At 42.9% G+C, this 18,600-nt stretch overlaps 2 protein-coding genes across 10 annotated transcripts in view; both read left to right on the top strand.

Moving 5' to 3' along the window:
- The window catches only part of GCOM1 (GCOM1, MYZAP-POLR2M combined locus), a 125,654-nt gene that overhangs the window by 19,605 nt on the left and 87,449 nt on the right, over positions 1-18,600 (top strand). For all 8 annotated transcript variants that reach the window (NR_104367.2, NR_104368.2, NR_104369.2 and 5 more), the window contains exons 3-6: positions 6,525-6,680; positions 10,100-10,192; positions 14,271-14,384; positions 18,194-18,346. Coding sequence is in view for 3 of the 8 variants with exons in the window: in NM_001285900.3 (NP_001272829.1) it covers positions 6,525-6,680; positions 10,100-10,192; positions 14,271-14,384; positions 18,194-18,346 (516 nt within the window). In the remaining 5 variants the exon portion in view is untranslated. The remainder of the gene's footprint in view (positions 1-6,524; positions 6,681-10,099; positions 10,193-14,270; positions 14,385-18,193; positions 18,347-18,600) is intronic.
- MYZAP (myocardial zonula adherens protein) overlaps positions 1-18,600 on the top strand; it is a 93,461-nt gene that overhangs the window by 19,605 nt on the left and 55,256 nt on the right. For both annotated transcript variants that reach the window (NM_001018100.5, NM_152451.8), the window contains exons 3-6: positions 6,525-6,680; positions 10,100-10,192; positions 14,271-14,384; positions 18,194-18,346. In NM_001018100.5, the coding sequence (NP_001018110.1) occupies positions 6,525-6,680; positions 10,100-10,192; positions 14,271-14,384; positions 18,194-18,346 (516 nt within the window). The remainder of the gene's footprint in view (positions 1-6,524; positions 6,681-10,099; positions 10,193-14,270; positions 14,385-18,193; positions 18,347-18,600) is intronic.

The raw sequence follows: 18,600 nt of genomic DNA on the forward strand, positions 1-18,600 counted from the left end.
TGTACTAGCTGCACACTAGTCTGCATGGAAGCTGTGCACTAGCGGTACGCTAGCACTCCTATCAGGCTGCTATCATTACAAATGCCACTCTCTTTGGGACTTCTGCTTGGCTAGAAGCTTTCCTTTTCCTTCTCATCTTAAGCTTTGAAAATGATCTTTTCTCCTGAGTTTACTTAGGAAATGGGCACTATTCAGTCTGTGAGACTGTCAGAAATAACTAAATTAGTTTTATTTTTTAGAAACAGGGTCTCACTATGTCATCCAGGCTGGAAAGCAGTGGCTATTCCCAGGTGCAATCATAGCACACGATTGCCTTGAACACCTGGGCTCAAGTATTCCTCCTGTCTCAGCCTCTCAAGTAGCTGGGACTACAGGCATACACCACTGCGCCTGGCCAAGTATTTTGATAAGCCAGAGGTTTCAGTTTTTCTGAGAATATTTATTTCCCAGGCTGTGGAAAGGCCCTTTGGGCTCAGAGGTAATGTTCATTTTTGTCCAAGAAAGCAAAACAGTGTTAAGTATGAGTAATGACCTGGGCCAAATAATTTGCTGAGATAGATACACAGGTTGTACAAGCCAGAGCACATTCCCGAAGTGCCAGCCTCTGCCTGCAAGATGGGCAGGGAACCCAGTGGCTCTGTGCTCAGCAGTCCCAGGTTAGCTGCTGCCCTCTGGCTGGAGAAAAGAGGTCTGAAGTAAGAAGTTTTGGAAATAACTTGGCTTCCAGTCTGGAAGTCACACGAGTCACATTATGGCCCTTCTCAACCATATTGGCAGCCAGGATGTGTGACCAGCTGCCCCTCCTGGCTGGTGGGGCGGGGGACTGGCTGTGTTAGTCTGCTATTGTCAGTTTGATGCATGTTGAGCTGCATTTCTGCTCTTATTTCCCCTAAGAATGCTGATTGACCAAGGGATTTTCTTTTTTTGCACAGATTAATCCTCAGTGTCAAGGATGACTGTATACTCCAAATATTCCATCTTTCTTTTTCCCTTCAAAATGTATTTATGGAGCATCTATTTATGCTGGGTACCAGAGATAGAGCAGTGAATAAGGCAGATGTTGTCCCTGGCTTTTTGGAGCTTGTTGCATTGTAGGATCCTATCTTCTCATTTAAGATTTGGACAATATCATTGGCCTTGTTAACGCAGACTCTTCAATGGCCAGTAAATCCCTTAGGAGAGGAATTTAGGCTGAGTTAGTTTTCTGTAGCTGCTCTTTCTTTCTAAGGCACTGGCTGCCAGATGTATCTTTAGGGAGGTCAGCCATAGTATGGGGCCTGTAGGTAGAATTTATGCTGTGAGTACTCACAGGAAACAGCTTAATCCAGAGATTCTGCGTATGTGTTGGGAGTATGGAATGCCCTTTCAGTTAATTTTCCTTCTTTCCTACTTTCTTTTTATTCTACACTTTAATTAAGCCTTTTATTTTCTTTTTTTTTCCGAGACGGAGTCTCGCTCTGTCGCCCAGGCTGGAGTGCAATGGTGCGATCTCGGCTCACTGCAAGCTCCACCTCCCGGGTTCACACCATTCTCCTGCCTCAGCCTCCCAAGTAGCTGGGACTACAGGCGCCTGCCACCACGCCTGGCTAATTTTTTTGTATTTTTATTAGAGATGGGGTTTCACCGTGTTAGCCAGGATGGTCTCCATCTCCTGACCTTGTGATCCACCTGCCTCGGCCTCCCAAAGTGCTGGGATTACAGGCATGAGCCACCATTCCTGGCCAGGCCTTTTATTTTCAAGCAAATTCTGTCTAGTATTGTTTCATGCCCAGGAGGCTTTTAATAGAGTACATTTTTTAAAATTTGTTTTTTTAGTACCAAGTAGCATTATAAAGAGGCTTTTGATTTTTAATTTAAATTTAATTTAATTTAATTTTCTTGAGATAGGGTCTTTCTCTGTCGCCCAGGCTGGAGTATAGTAGTATGATCACAGCTTACTGTAGCCTCAACCTCCTGGGCTCAAGCAATCTTCCCACCTTAGCCTCCCAAGAAGCTGGGACTACAGGCACACACCACCACATCAAGCTAATTTTTGCATTTTTTGCAGAGATGGATTTTTACCATGTTGCCCAGGCTGGTCTCAAATGCTTGGACTCAAGCAATCTGCCTGCCTTGGCCTCCCAAAGTGCTGGGATTATAAGCATGAGACACCGTGCCTGGCCATAAGGAGGTTTTAAAAAACTTAATTTTGGAGAGTTTCAAACATACAAAATGAGACTGGATCATGTAATGAGTCATTGATCCTCTCTCCAGCACCAGCAACCTCAATACATGGCCAATCCTGCCTCATCTACATCCACGCTGTATAAGGAAATAAATATACATCATCTGTATCTCAGCATGTTTCTCTAAAAGAGACTGTTTCTTAATATCATCATAATGCTCTTCTGCCTAAAAATCAATACTTTTCTTATTGGGAGGTATTTTAAAGGATACAAGAGGAGAGAAATTTAGCCACAAACATCTTGCTCAACATATCAGCTTTTTTCTTTTTTTCCCCGTGTTCAGTTTTTGACCAAAAGCATACTGATATTTTATAAAAATGATAGCCATCTATGCTCCTAGCAGCTTTTCTGGGTATACATGTTGTGACCGGGGTAAACATTAACTGTCTGTTCCTCCATCTAAGAAGAATAACAGGTATTCACTTCATTTGGACCATATTTATGTACCCTGAGTAATTCCCAGACCTCTCCCAACTTCTAAAGTTCCCTATTCATTCAGCAAGTATTTATTGAGAGACTCATTGCACGTCAGTCACTGTTAGATCTGGGAATTACGGTGGAAAAGAAGACAAAGTAGGCCCTGGACTTGCTGCAATTTACAGTTGATAGGGAAGCAGGGCTTCCCCACACAAGGATACTGACATACACCAACAGTCGCTGGGCTGCAGCTGTGGTGAGTGTCGTGGGGAAGTGCTGTGAGAGTGAACCGAGAAGACCTCAGGGGTCTGAAGGGTCAGGAAAGGCGTTCTTGATTCTTGAGGAAGTGACATTTCAGCCCAGCAGTGCAGATCGAGGGAACAGCATGTGTGACTACCTTGAAACAAGAAGGAGGCTGGCTCCTAAAGGAACAGAAGGGAGGCAGTGAGGCAGGTGTGGGGTTGGGGATGGGCAGGGGAAGTGGAAAGAGCCCCCCATCCTGGGCCTGCCTCTTCCAAATGGCCCTGGGACCTGAGAGCAGGCTCTTGGGTTCCTACGGCTGGAGACCCTGGGATGCTACATGGAGACGTGAGTTCCAGTTGTTCTCCTGACTGTAGCATTGTAGTGAAAAAAGAACTCCAATTTGGAAAGACATAGGCAGGCACTTGCAGGCTGTTACCCTGGAAGAAGAGAAGTCATACTATTTACACAGTAGGGTCATTGTGAGGATTAAAGAAAATATATATTTTATTATATATTATATGTAATAAAATCACCTGACAACAAATTTCTTCCCCCTCCTCTTTCTTCAGTAACTTTCTTCTTCACTTTTCCTGTCAGGGACCATCAGCTCCTTGGGCTGCCTCAGGAGTCCTCTCCCCTGGTGTGGCTGGTGCTGATGGCCCTGCTCCCCAGCGGGTAGAGTCCTGGGGCCGTGCCCTTCCTGGGGGCGTTTTATTTAGACCCTGACATTTACACAAATGTTCAATTCAAACATAATGCTTTTTTCTTTTTGCCAAAAAACATTCAAAGTCTACAAAAGAACATAAAGGAAAAAGTGAAATCTCATTTTCCTGAGGAAACTGTCGTTAGAGAGCTGGATTGCATCCTTCTAGATGTTTTACATACACAAACACACAGTCTTCAAACAAAAAATGAAAATTTGAAATTTATGATTTTTCACTCAGTGTATCTTGATCTCTTTCTGTGTGTACAACTTTGAGACCTGGGCCACTCGGGAGTGTTCCACAGACTTCATTGTTCCTGGCATTGCTTGTGTTTTCCCTGCTCCGTGGCGGCTTCATCTCCCTGCTTGGGCCAGGGGCAGGATCCTCTGTGTCCGGCCACCTGAGTTTTCCTGCAAGCCAGTCCACCTCTGAAAGCCTTTGCTTTGCAGAAATGCATTTCACCAAAGCCTTGTGTTGTCATTGGCTTGTTTTTTAGGAACTGGGTGGAGTCTGTGACTGAAAGATCTTGCTTTTGTTTCCTGGTATTTGGGGAGTTTCATTAGAGCTTTTCCTCTTCCTGGTTATATGTCCAGTAAATTGGGGATAAGTTAATGCCAGCTCTTGACTCTGCTGCAAGCCATTTAACAGCTCAGTTACCCAAACTTAAGCACAAATGTAAGGATAGCATCAGTGCCTTTGGGGCCCAGCTGTAAGGGACTCAGGGGGAAGCATTTACCAGAAACAAGTACAAGGAATCACAGCTTCTTGCATCCCATCTCTTCCCAAGTGTGGGAAGAAGGGCAAGAAGCAATGGTTGTAGTATTTTCTTACTTTTTAAAAAGATTACATTGAAACGAAGCAAAACAAAACAAAAAACAAGCAATATAGAAAGGTATAAAGAACAAGGCAAAAGTCACCCTGATCTCTAGCGCCCCTACCCCATCCATGGTTCCTTCCTTAGAGACCTGTAAGTTTAATCATCATCACATAGTTTTCTAGACCTTTCTTTGATTTTGCAAACTTTGAATGAATGGGATCATAAAGTACTTAAAGTACATAAAGAACTTACTGTTCTGCCACAATGAATGATTTTCAAATGCAAATTAAAGTTTTGTGTGTTAAAAAATGCTTTGTGGGCCAGGCAAGGTGGCTCATGCTTGTAATCCCAGCACTTTGGGAGGCCAAAGCAGGCAGATCACTTGAGGTCAGGAATTTGAGACCAGATGGTGAAACCTTGTCTGTACTAAAAATACAAAAATTGGCTGGGCGCAGTGGCTCACGCCTGTGATCCCAGCACTTTGGGGGGCCGAGGTGGGCGGATCACAAGGTCAAGAGCTCGAGACCATCCTGGCCAACATGATGAAACCCCGTCTCTACTGAAAATACAAAAATTAGTTGGGCGTGGTGGCGCGCTTCTAGTCCCAGCTACTCAGGAGGCTGAGGTAGGAGAATTGGTTGAACCCAGGAGGCGGAGGTTGCAGTGAGCCAAGATTGCGCCGCTGCTCTCCAACCTGGCGAGAGAGTGAGACTCTGTCTCAAAAACAAACAAACAAAATACAAAAATGAGCCCATGTGGTGGTATACACTTGTAATTCCAGCTGACTTGGAAGACTGAGGCAGGAGAATCACTTGAACCAGGGAGGTGGAGGTTGCAGTGAGCCACGATCACGCCACTACACTGCAGCCTGGGTGACAGAGTGAGACTCCATCTAAAAAAAAAAGTGCTTTTTTTTTTTTTTTTTTTTTTTTTGTGAATACATGGCAAGAATCTCTGTGTAAAGGCAGTTGAAAAGTTAGCAGGACAGCAGAATTACCTTTATGGAATTTGGGTTTCTGTGCTGTGGGATTGTCGAGGTACCTGGGTCAGCCCTAGGGAAAACTGAGAGAAGGTCAGTTTGTCTGAAGTCTCAGTCCTTGATCTTGGATTTTTTCTTACTTCTGTCCCTTCCATGTTGTGGAGGCACCTACTCTGTCCCCCTGCATCTAAACATAGCCTGCAGTATGGGGAGGTGCTTAATGTCAGACAGAATCACAGAGCCAGGCTTGAATGTAGGTGTGTGTCCATAAGCAAGTTGCCTAACGTCTCTGAACTTCAGTTTTCTCAGCTATGAAGTGGAAAGGACAGAAAGGACAATTGCTGTGTCATAGAGTGGTTGTGAACATTAAATGTGATTAGGAATATTTCTAGCCTATAGTAGGTTTTCAACAAATCTTAATTTCCCCCTTTCCTGCTTGTTAAGCCTTCATTCTATAAAGGCGTGTTAAGGCTTGGACATGTTACTGTTTCTCAAGGGTATTTGCATTTCAACAATGACCAAAACTTTAACTGAAGGAATTAAGAACCAGCCAACAGGACTGGGAGGATCCTTTTGGGCTGAAGTCACACCACCTCTTCCTGGCTTTTCAGAAATATTTCATGAATGGTCACAACAGGTTATGTACTAACACTACCCCCTTTTCTTAGAACTTGGCCCCAGGACCAGCCCTACCCTCAGAGGACAGTTTGGCTGCTAGATGACTGCCAGCCTCAACCTTGTGCATTGTATTTAGTGATGAGGTTGAAGTCATATGGAGAAGCTGGGATAAGGGGAAAGACAGCATTATTAAGAGCATGAGGTTTCAAATGCTTGCTCTTCTTACTAGGACAACGCAAGTCCGTCTGGTATCTTTGTGGGAATTACTCTTAGGTGAGTGGACAGGCCCTTATATACATTAGCAAACGGTGCTCTTCCTCCGGGGTAAAAGCAGCCCAAGCCTATGCCAAATCACCTTGGTGAACAGAGACTAGATGGGATTTTTGCTCCCTCCATCTCCACTGCCAGGCAATGAGTGCTGGGCACAATTTGCATAATCATACACAGTGGGCCCGTTATTACAACTGTGCATGAGGCCTAAAGAGTCATTATTCTTTTTTTCTTTTCCTACTTTCTTTTAGCTTCTTGACCTGAGCAATGGAGAACCTACCAGGAAACTTCCTCAGGGTGTTGTTTATGGTGTGGTGCGAAGATCAGATCAAAATCAGCAGAAAGAAATGGTGGTGTATGGGTGGTCCACCAGTCAGCTGAAAGAAGAGATGAACTACATCAAAGATGTGAGCCATTTAAGAGTTTTTGCCCCCCACCTGTATTCTTTTTGTAGCATGCAAGAGAATGGAGTTGGAAGCATTGAAGTGAATGTAATAAGGCATTTTGAAAGAATTCTTAGTGTTATCATTTTGGCTGGAAATGTTTCTGTGTATCTTCATGGTAATGTTAAAGTACAGATGTAAATCTGCAAGGAAGGAAAGGTTGAGCTTCTGCTGGATGGATGTTACTAGGTAAGTATACTCAGGAGAGCAGATGGCTTCCTCCTTCCGTGTAGGGTTTGGAGGCTCTTGAGTGGTTTTTCTTTATTGCACTTACCAGTCCCACATTCATCCCTGGCAAGAGGAATAGGAAGACTGTGGGTGATTCAGATCAATCAGTTGGGTTGAAACAAATGCTAGGAAGTCAACCACAATAGACTTTGTCCAACCAAGCCAATCAATGCCATTTCCTTGTATTTAGTAGTTTATTTCCTATCTTTTAAGTTACATGTTCTTTTGAGAAAATTTGGGAAATATAAACATGTATGAAGAAGAAAATAAAATCACTCATAATCTCACTATTCATCCAGAGCAATTGTTAACATTTTGGAGTATTTTCTTCTTCTCTCTCTCTCCATTTCTTTTCATTCCATCCTGTGTTCCCCTAGATTGACTGATTCCCCTCTTGACCAAACCACCCAGCTTATATGGAAGAGGAGATGGCCTGCTCTGACACTGATGGGCTCACATTACAGACCAGTGGCTTAGAAAGTGCTTGTAAGAGGCAGTGTAGGGGCAGGGAGTCAACCTAGGCCTGTGAGCTCACAGACCTTGCTTCGAGCTCCAGCTCTGTGTCTGGCCCAGCAAGTCACTTTTGCTCTGTGCAGGCTTCAGTCCTCATGTTGAGATTGTGGGGGTTGGCTGGGCTTTGATACCTAAGGTTAAAAACACAGCTTTGTGAGCCCCATTTTATTTTGTGGGTTTTCAGATAAGATGCAAACTCATGATGTCTTCGCTTTTGTGTGAGTTTTTAAAAGGAACATTTCTTGTTGAATTTAAAAAATAATAAATGCTTAGCAGAAAATATGAGGAAAAGCCAGCAAAATTAGCACGCATATACATAATGTATATGACAGCCACCAACCTTAAACTCCTAGTTATCCCACCTTTCAAACATAATTTTAAAAATTTATTTTATTGTATATTTTCGAGACAGCGTCTCACTCTGTCATCCAGGCTGGAGTGCAGTGGCACAATCACAGCTCACTGTGGCGACACAATCACAGCTTATTGCAGCTTCTACTTCCCCACCCTCAAGTGATCCTCCTGCCTCAGCTTCCCAAGCAGCTGGGACTGCAGGTGCGCACCGCTACACCCAGATAATTTTTTGTAGAGACCCAGACTGGTCTCAAACTCCTGGACTTAAGTGAACCTCCCACCTCAGTTTCCCAAAGTTCTGGGATTACAGGTGTAAATCACTGTGCCCGGCCTCCAGACATAATTTTTAACCATTCAGAATATTCAATTCCTGAATTTCCTGTTAAGAATAGCTCAGACATTTTAATTTTCTTGTATTTTTTTCTCAAGGAAATACATAGACCTTCCTCACTTAAATGCTCCGGAGGTATGGCTCCTCCCTTAGTAACCTTCTAAACAGAGTCCAGAGTCCCACATTGCCCAAGACAAAGGCAGGAGGAGATGTTGGCTAATCCTGAGCTGTGGATGACATGTACCAAAGACATGTGCCAAAGACCTGGAATTACCACCCTCCACTGTGATCCGCAACTTAAAACTAACTTTCAGGTCCCTCCTGCCATAGGTGGCTTCAGTTCCATCCCTGGCCTGGTCATTGCAGTATTTGCCTTTGGGAGGGACATGCAGCTCAAGATTCCACCCACTCACCACTGGGAGCAGCACAAGAGCCAGCTCAGGGCCACACATGAAAGCCGTTCTGCCTGCCTAGAATGAAAAGTTGTACCTTTAACCTCATTTTCCCAAAATGTTTGTACTTCATGGCAAGAAAGTAGACTCTATTTTTAGAATTCATGTGGGGAAGTCTGGGGGTCTTGACTCTCCCTTCCCCCAAATCTCCACCAATATCCAGTAACCCCTAATAAACATGCTGTCTATTTTAAAACAATGTGCTTCAAAATTAAGCCTTCCAATACTATGTCCTAAACACTTACATTCTAACCAAACTGCTATCTTTAGGCCCTTCCTAAAACAGAAATTCTGGAGTGTGCTGGAGAAAACTCCCTTGAGACTTCCTGCCCTATTTGAGGGTTCCTGAGTACTTTCCCCATCCTAGGGATACCAGAAGAAGGGAGGAGACAGGGACTGTTTGTAAGGTCTTTTGTTGTGTTTTGAAAGTTTTTAAGGTCCTGCTAGCCCTCTGAAAGTAGTACTGTAGAGAAACTTGAACAGCGTTTGTGTAAACAAGTGTTTTTGGGATCACTTGAACTTTTGTTATATTTACTGCCTTGCGTGTTATTGGTGATTACTGAGGAACTGACTTTCAAATTTATGGGCTCCCCAGGGTTCATATTTTACTTCCTTCCATTCCAGATATTTGATTGCTCTTTGGCAGTCAGGGCCGATAGAGGGAAAATTAGAGGTTGCTTTTTGGTTTCTTTGGTCCTCTTAGCCATGAGTCTGTTAAAACACATTCTACTTGTAAAAACATGTGATGGGAAAAGGGCAAAACTTTGCCCAACTGTCATTTGAGGGTGATAGGTGAATTTCAACAAACCATTTTTTCTTCAGAGTTTATTTGGCTAATTAATATTTATTATGATAGTTACATGTAATTATATATAATTTTATGTAATTAATATATATTAGCATATATTTGATATATTCTATATTAATATATGCCTATATATTTTATTATGTATATAAAATATATACATAATAAAATTATATATATATAAATTATTTGGATAATTCCTAACTAGTTTCTAACTAGTTGTTGGGGGTGACCTTCTCCCTTAATTTCCTGTCTTGTTCTTAAGTTTATTTTTATGTGGGGTCCTTCTTTCTTTTTCTTTTTTTTTTTTTTTTGTTTTTTGAGATGGAGTCTTGCTCTGTCACCCAGGCTGGAGTGCAGTGGCATGATCTCGGCTCACTGCAAGCTCCGCCTGCCGGATTCACGTAATTCTTCTGCCTCAGCCTCCCGAGTAGCTGGGACTACAGGTGCCCACCACCACACCCCCCAACTAATTTTTGTATTTTTAGTAGAGACGGGGTTTCACCATGTCAGCCAGGGTGGTCTCGATCTCCTGACCTTGTGATCCGCCTGCCTCGGCCTCCCAAAGTGCTGGGATTACAGGCTTGAGCCACCGCACCTGGCCGGGGTCCTTCTTTCTTTAGAGTTTCTTAAAAGTTTTAGAAATCTTGTATGAAAATGTTATGGCTTGATCTCTAACTAGTATCTTTGTGGGCTACAGGTGAGAGCCACTTTGGAAAAGGTGAGAAAGCGAATGTATGGAGACTATGATGAGATGAGACAGAAGATTCGACAGCTCACCCAGGAACTATCAGTAAGTCATTATCTCAGTTGCTTGGAGATAGGGAGGCATGGCAGGCTCAGAGTGGTCCCTCAGTGGCTAGTGCCTAAAGATATTAGAGTATCTAGTGTTCTTTATCAATAGAATTACATTTTAAATAAACTGAGAAAATTTTATCACAGAATGAAATTTATTACCTAAAGGGAAATTTTTATGGTAAGAATAATCGTATTCATATTCAAAGCATTCTCACCAAAGTCAGGAGCAAAACAAGGAAGCCAGCTATCACTATTATTATTTAACATTGTTCTTCACATACTGGCCAAACAAGAGAAATAAACATATAGGTTTAAACATGGCATAGGTAGATGTAAAACTATCACTGTTTACAAACTATATGATTGTATACCTGGAAAGCTCAAGTGAACATGAAATGATGAAAGAAAAACTACTACAAACAAGTAAAGAATTTGTTATTTGTAGCAGGGTATAAAATTTTATACACACACACACAGAGGATATAAAATTAATATATAATATACAAAGAGGTTTCAATATACAAAAAATTCCCAAAATATCATCAACAGAAAAATACTACATACCTAGGAGTCAACTATAATAAGTGGAAAGAAACACCATGTGCTTAGAAAGGAAGATTCAGCATCATAAGATCCACATTACTGTACCATTTTAATATGACCCAATAAAAAGACCAACAGGTTTTGTTTTTTATAAGTGGAGTAGGTGATTCTAAGGTTTATATAGAAAATAAATAAAAAGATTGGGAAAATAATGGGAAAAAAGAGCAACGAGAGGGAGTAGCCTTATTAAATGTTAAAAGAAAGTGAAAAAGCCTCAGAGATTGAAACAGTATCATAGTGGCACATAAATAGACAAACATCAATAAAAAGTACTCCAGAAATGTACCCCTGTATATGATAAATGTAGCATCTCAAAAAAGGAAGGAAAATGGACTAGTCAATATGTGCTATTGGGAAAACTTATGTGCTGTTGGAAGTCTTATACCTGGCTAAATTCCTAAAGTATCAAAGATTTAAATGTGAAAAATAAAACCCAAAAGTGCCAGAAGAAAAATATGTGTGAATTCATTTATACCCTTGAGGTAAGGGAATGCCTTTTCTTATTATGATATAAAATCCCAAAACCATGAAAAGAAAGGCTGATAACTTTGACAACTTTGAAATGAGAAACTCCTGCTGGTAAAAATGTCAAAGTCAAATGACCGGGAAAAATTATTTGTCCTTCGTATCACACATAATAGGCTCATTTTCTGAATATTGAAAGATCCCCCACGAATCAAGAAGAAAAAAGCTACAACTCATAAAAATAGGTGAAAGATTTGTAACAGGTAATGTATACTAAAGGAAAGATGGAGAGAGCTCTTTTGTGTATGACAGGATGCTCTGCCTCACCTCATCGTAAGATAAATGCGGGTTAAAACCATCCCATGATATAATTTTTATCTATTAGACCCGCCAAAGTGCAAGAGTGGGTCAGGACATTGTTCACAGGCCTGTGGGCAAAGAAGAGGGTTGCTGATGAAAATGCAATTTGCTATTACTCTTACAGAGAACAATTCAGCATTATCGATCAAAATTACAGATGTTTAGATCCTTTGACCCAGCAATTCTATTCCTAGCATTTATTCTACAGGTAGACTCTCACATATGAGGAAAGACATAAGGATAGATTTATTTATTGTAGCATTGTTTGTAATAGTAAAACAATTGGAAACCTAAATGTCTATCAAGTAGAGGAAAGTGGACAGGCACGGTGGCTCACGCTTATGATCACAGCATTTTGGGAGGCCGAGGCAGGTGGATCATTTGAGGTCAGGAGTTCGAGACCAGCCTGGCCAATGTGGTGAAACCCTGTCTCTACTAAAAATACAAAAATTAGCCGGGCATGGTGGTGCAGGCCTGTAATCCTAGCTACTCCGTTGGCTGAGGCAGGAGAATCACTTGAGCCTGGGAGGTGGAGGTTGCAGTGAGCCAAGACTGTGCCACTGCACTCCAGTCTGGGTGACAGAGTGAGACCCTGTTTCAAAAAAAAAAAATAAGGGAAAGTAAGATAAACGATGTATCTCTACAATAGAATATATGCAGTTGTAAATTAAAAAAAAAAAAAAGAAAAAGCAAGTAATCCCTTGAAGGGGAGATACAGAAAGATGTAGACGGTGAAAAAAAGCAAGATGCAAGAAAATATGTAGGAAAAAATTGCTACCATTTGTATAGAACAGGAAGAGAAGATAAACATATCAGGATTGTTCTGTGTGTGCACAAAAAGTTACTAAAAGGTTAATCCAGAAAGTAACTAACAACTGTTTCTAATTGGGAGGCAGGGTGGTAACTGAGCAGGGTGGTAATTTTTTATAAAAATATAAAAGTAACTTTATACTTTTGAAATGTTTGCACCATGTGAGTGTATTACCTACTGAAAAATTTAAGAAAAATAACCTTCTTCTAGTTTAGCCAAGCTAATGCTTGTAGACATTTAAAAAAATTTATTATTAATATTCCCAAAGATAAAAGTCCCTGTCTATGTGACGTACCTTCCATAAGAGTTAATATCTGTGGGAAAGAAGGGCAGTTACAACAGTCATGCATCAGAGTTCAATTTATGGCTGGGCTGTGAGATTAAGTGCTTAAGTAACACCTAGTACCTTGATTATAGGAGTGGGGCTACGTAAATATATCTCCCTACCCCATTTCTTGATTATAGGAGTGGGGCTATGTAAATTTATCTACCTAGCCCCTTCCTTGATTATAGGAATGGGGCTGTATAAACATATCTACCCAGCCCATTCCCACTGGCATGTGGGAGGACATTTGTGAAATTCTCACCTGCTTATGGAAAGTCATTCTGCCATGACTGTCAGACACCAATGACTGTCATCAAAGCCAAAGAATTGGATTTGCAATAGATGCATAAACAAGACTCTGCTCCTCGCTTTCCATCACCATCTCCTACACACCCTCATTTTCTCATGCTAGAATTGTCCCAGAAACCCTGTCTCTCTGCCTACTGGTCTCCTCCTTCTCCAAGTCATCCTACCTACTGCAGCCAGATTAAGATTGCTAAATTATTGCTATTGAAACACACTGCTGAACACAAAGCTGCCACATGCTCCTGGGCCTGGCTTGCTGCTTCAATTCTGTCTCCACTCCCCAGAGTGCACCTCCTGCTCTGCTGTGCCGGGGCTGCTTTCTGCTGCTCCCAGAGGCCACATGGGGGGCCTTCCACCCTCAGTCCTAACTGTATCTAGCCTCTTACCAATATCTAGGTCAAGAATGGCTTCTGACTCAGACATGTTAAACACACACACCCAACAAAGACAGCAGCAACAACAGCAGCAACAAAACAACTCTTTTTTTTTTTTTTTAAATGAGACGGAGTTTCGCTGTTGTCACCCAGGCTGGAGTGCAATGGCGCCATCTCAGCTCACTGCAACCTTGGCTCACTGCAACCTCAGCCTCCGGGGTTCAAGCGATTCGCCTGCCTCAGCCTTCCACGAAGCTGGGATTACAAGCGTGCGTCACCATGCCTGGCTAATTTTTGTATTTTTAGTAGAGATGGAGTTTCACCACGTTGGCCAGGCTGGTCTCGAACTCTTGACCTCAGGTGATCCGACCGCCTCGGCCTCCCACAGTGCTGGGATTACAAAAACACTCTTGAGAATTGAGTGAGACCAAAGCATATTCTCTCCATGGTGACTACAAAGAACAAGGTGGCTGCAGAAGTTATTTCAACTGGGTTCTAGTTCTAGGAGCGCCACTTCTGAGCTGTTTGACAGTGAGCAAATCACATAACTTCTCTGATTGTTTTCTTCCTTACAAAGGACAACATTCTGACTCCTGCACAGTGTTGTTGAGAGGGCTAAATGAGGGTCTGTGAGTAAACACTATCCAAAGGAAGGTGATTCTTGCCCTTCTCTCTGGATCATGCAGATGTTGACTTTTAATTTAAAGCTTTACTTTAGATATTGTTGAAGTAGATGTGGCTTCTAACAGAAGAAAGTTCCAGCCTAACTGAAGATTGTCGTGAACGTGTAGGGATTGATTTTGTGTGACTGTCTCCTCGATCTGTCCAGGTTTCCCATGCTCAGCAGGAGTATCTGGAGAATCACATCCAAACCCAGTCGTCTGCCCTGGATCGTTTTAATGCCATGAACTCAGCCTTGGCATCAGATTCCATTGGCCTGCAGGTACTCATCTGCTTACTGCTATGACAGGGCAACCCAGCTTAATCAAGAGTGGGGACTGTGCCTTTGCAGAAAAATAAGTCACAGAACATCCTTAGCTCATGATTCAGAATTCTTTAAGCAGAACCACTGTGAAGACTGTGCCCAGAAGACAGTGTAGGAAACTGAAGGAAGCATTTCCAAGCTGAGACTCTAAGGCTTTGTTTTTGCTCTCTGAAAAGGAAATTTAGACCCCGAGTTTAGTGTGAGAGATGTTGCTTGCTTCACCAGATACCCGAGTGGTCCTCAGCATCAGTGCCTAACCCCACACGTCAGCCCTCTTCCTCCAGTCCCAGTGCCACAGGAAGTGCCACCTAATCACAGAATAACACAGACTTCACTAAGGACAATCTGTACTCCTTCATGGCAAGCAATATAAAAAAGGCCTGTAAACACTTTTTTATAATTAGAAATTATTTTGTATCAGAAAGAATCATGGATATTCCACGTCTTGTAGTAGCAGACAGGGAAACAGAAAGACCCGGTATCTTATATTTGTGAAAATGCATGTTGTTATCTCACTTTGAGGCATTGTTTTCTTGGTTGATTTGGTTTACAGGAGCTAACCCTTCAAGTGCTTCCCATTCTTACTCTTACAAGTCCCCTAACATGCAAATTAATTTGAAAATGTTCAAAGCAAAGCATTGTATGTATTTGAAATAGCTTCCCTTGGTCTTCATTTCCAAATGTATGAACAACAGTTTTTACCTCTCCTCCAAATTTATTTGGCTCTTATCTTTTTATCCTCCTCTCAAAAGTTCCAAAACCTATTTCAAATCCTTTCTGGTTCTATATAAGTAATTTTAGATAAATAAATTTTCATGTTGGGATTCTCCACTTCCCCTAATTCTCTGATAACAGTTGGTATGGCAGCAGTGACAACAGCAGGGCTCGGCCACTGTCCTGGAGTGGGTCTGGGTGGCCTCGTGTTTGGGGTCATCTGCGATGCCCATTTCTGGTGGGGCTTCTGAGTCCCACCCTTTTCCTGGCTCTCTTGAGTGTATGCCAGCTTTCCCCTGGCCTCAGGCCAAGCCCCACTGGGTCTGGTTTGCTCAGCAGCCTTTGTTTTCCCTTCCTCCTGTGGTCGGGGGGGCTTGCCAAGGCTCCCTTTCCTCCCCTTTCGGACGCTGTCTCATTCCCAGCCCACCAGCAAGGGCTTTATCTCACCTGAGTTCAGACTTAGTCGGTATTTGTACTACATCTCTGGTTTTTCTTCCCAGAAAGAAAAATATATTTGCCAGTATTTTCTGGCAATTCTTGTGCTTTGCCATCTGGCCAACACTCTGGCATTTACTGCAGAGGTCAGCTGTTTGAGCTGGGCCAGCTCTGACCCAGGCACCTTGACTGATTCCTAGTTATCATGCAGGCTCTTAGTCCTGGACAGCCAAAGGAGCCTTATAGCTAAAACCGCTGAGAGAAACAGAAAGAGAGAGACAAAGAGAGAGGGAGAGGGAGGGGGAGGGGGAGGGGGAGGGGAGGGGAAGGGGGAGGAGGAGGAGGAGGAGAAGGAGAAGGAGAAGCCATCTCACAGCAGGAAACTCAACCTGGTAGAGGAAGAGGGCTGATGCACGGTGTTAGGCACTGATGCTGAGGACCACTCGAGTACCTGGTGGACCGAGTCTGAAGAGAGCTGGCTTCTTCCTTATGCAAGACCCCAGCCTCTTCCACTGGCCCACTCTGTCCACTTTCATTATTATTGACAGGGAGACCAGACCCTTGGTTTGATTCCATAGAATGTCAGAGCTAGAAAGAACTGAGAGGATCTCAGTTTTATGAATAGACAAACTGAGGCCGACAGAGAGAAATGACATGAGCAAGATGCCTACCTAGTGACAGAGCCAGGATTAGAAAAATCCTGGTCTCTTGGACCAGAGTGTAGGTTTTTGTGTGGATACACGAGTAGAATCTGTGAAGCCAGTGGGGCTGGGGGAGTGGGTGGCTGGTCTAGGTGGTTTCTAAAGCCCCTTGAAGCTCAAATGTTCTGTGACTCCATGCTTCCAAATAGCTTCAGTATTTTCTTTAGTATCTAATCACCTCCTTCAGAAATTCTTTTTCTTGATTCAAGTAGGTTTAGGAGTGAAAGGCTTATATTGTCCAAAGTAGAGGCTGAGGAATTGAGGAAGCTTCAGAGACTGATCATCTAGACAAGAGCACAGAGGTGTTAGAAACAGTGCCCAACACCAGGGTTTTCACATCTTCTAATGTGAAATTGTAGATGACTGGGGACACAGTAGAAGATGACTTTCCAACGGCACAGATTCTGTGGAGGCCATTTATCTCTAAGGAGAGTTAACCAAGTAGAAACCAAAGCAGTAAATAGCACCACCATTTTTTTCTTTTTCTTTTTTATTATTTTTTTAGAGATGGGGTCTTGCTCTGTTGCGCAGGCTGGAGTGCAGCAGTGTGATATAGTTCACTGCAGCCTTGACCTCCTAGGCTCAAGTGATCCTCATGCCTCAGCCTCCTGGGTAGCTGGGGCTACAGGTACACACAACCATGTCTAGCTGGTTTTTAAATTTTTTTTGTAGTTGCCCAGGCTAGTCTTGAACTCCAGGCTCAGGTGCTCCTCCCACCTCAGCCTCCCAAAGTGCTGGGATTACAGTCATGAGCCATCACGCATGGCCAACACTATTGATTTAAACATCCTTGCTTCAGTGCGGCCTGGAGCAAAAATTACTTGTGCGGCTTGGAGCAAAAATCACTTGTCTGCATTACCAAATTCTGTTCCTTAGTACTTCTTTATTACTACCCTTCTCTGCCTAAGGGAGGAAGGTGAAATGTTTGCAGGTATGTGAGTATTCTCAGTCACATTGTCACTATCCTGGCAGGCAGTCTAGAAGCGCAGAAGGGATAGCTCTTTTAAGAAAAAAGGGAGGCCGGGCGTGGTGGCTCACGCCTGTAATCCCAGCACTTTGGGAGGCCGAGTCAGGTGGATCACGAGGTCAGGAGTTCGAGACCAGCCTGGCCAATACGGTGAAACCCCATCTCCACTAAAAATACAAAAATTAGCCAGGCGTGGTGGCAGGCGCCTGTAGTCCCAGCTACTCGGGAGGCTGAGGCAGGAGAATCGCTTGAACCTGGGAGGCAGAGGTTGCAGTGAGCCGAGATCGTGCCACTGCACTCCAGTCTGGGCGACAGAGTAAGGCTCTGTCTCAAAAACAAAAAAAAAAAAAAAAAAAGAAAAAGAATAAAAAGAGGAATATCTCTATTCTATAAAGCTCGTATTTTGTTTTCTGATTTCATTGTGGCAATTTGGGAAATACAGAAAAAATAAATAAGAAAATAGATACCCATAGCCCTATCACATAGTGAAAACTATCATTCAGATTTCCTCCTGGTCTTTTTCCCCCCAGTGCATAAACATATATTTGAACCAATGCTTATACATATTTTTCAAAATGGGATTATACTATACTTACTATTTTCAAAAGCTGTTTTTTTTCCCATGTGAAATGATGTATTATAATACTTTTCCTTGGAAGGACTCCATTTTAATCCATTTCCATCCATCCTAAGCAGTGGCAAGTGGTGTTGGCAGCAGCTATGGGATGGTATGGGAGAGGTTTTCAGTCCCTCCAAGCTACAGGGGCAGACCTCTTGGCCACCATGGGAGACCCACAGTCCCTCACAGCACAGGGTCCCAGACTGGCAGTTGCTGTAGCCTAGGACAGCTACCCCAGTGCTTAATGATAAGGGGATGCCCCAGCATGTGGTGCAGCCCATGTGTTTTCACGCCACCGGATCTGGTTTTGTTTTTATTTTCATCCTCACAGAAAACCCTCGTGGATGTGACTTTGGAAAACAGCAACATTAAGGATCAAATCAGAAATCTGCAGCAGACGTATGAAGCATCCATGGACAAGCTGAGGGAAAAGCAGAGGCAGTTGGAGGTAGCGCAAGTTGAAAACCAGCTGCTAAAAATGAAGGTGGAGTATAAAAGCCTAGATTTATTTTCTATGAACTTTTCTCCTCTTTACTTCTCCCTTTTCTCTTCCCATCTTCAACCTTTCCATTTCCTTTTCTCCATTCTCTTCTTCATTGGATTTTTTTTTTTTTTTGAGACAGAGTCTCACTCTGTCACCCAGGCTGGAGTGCAGTGGTACAATCATGGCTCACTGCAACCTCCGCCTCCTGGGTTCAAGCAATTCTCGTGCCTCAGCCTCCTGAGTAGCTGGAATTA

This window comes from Homo sapiens, chromosome 15, assembly GCF_000001405.40.
Source record: "Homo sapiens chromosome 15, GRCh38.p14 Primary Assembly".
Taxonomy (NCBI): Eukaryota; Metazoa; Chordata; class Mammalia; order Primates; family Hominidae; genus Homo; species Homo sapiens.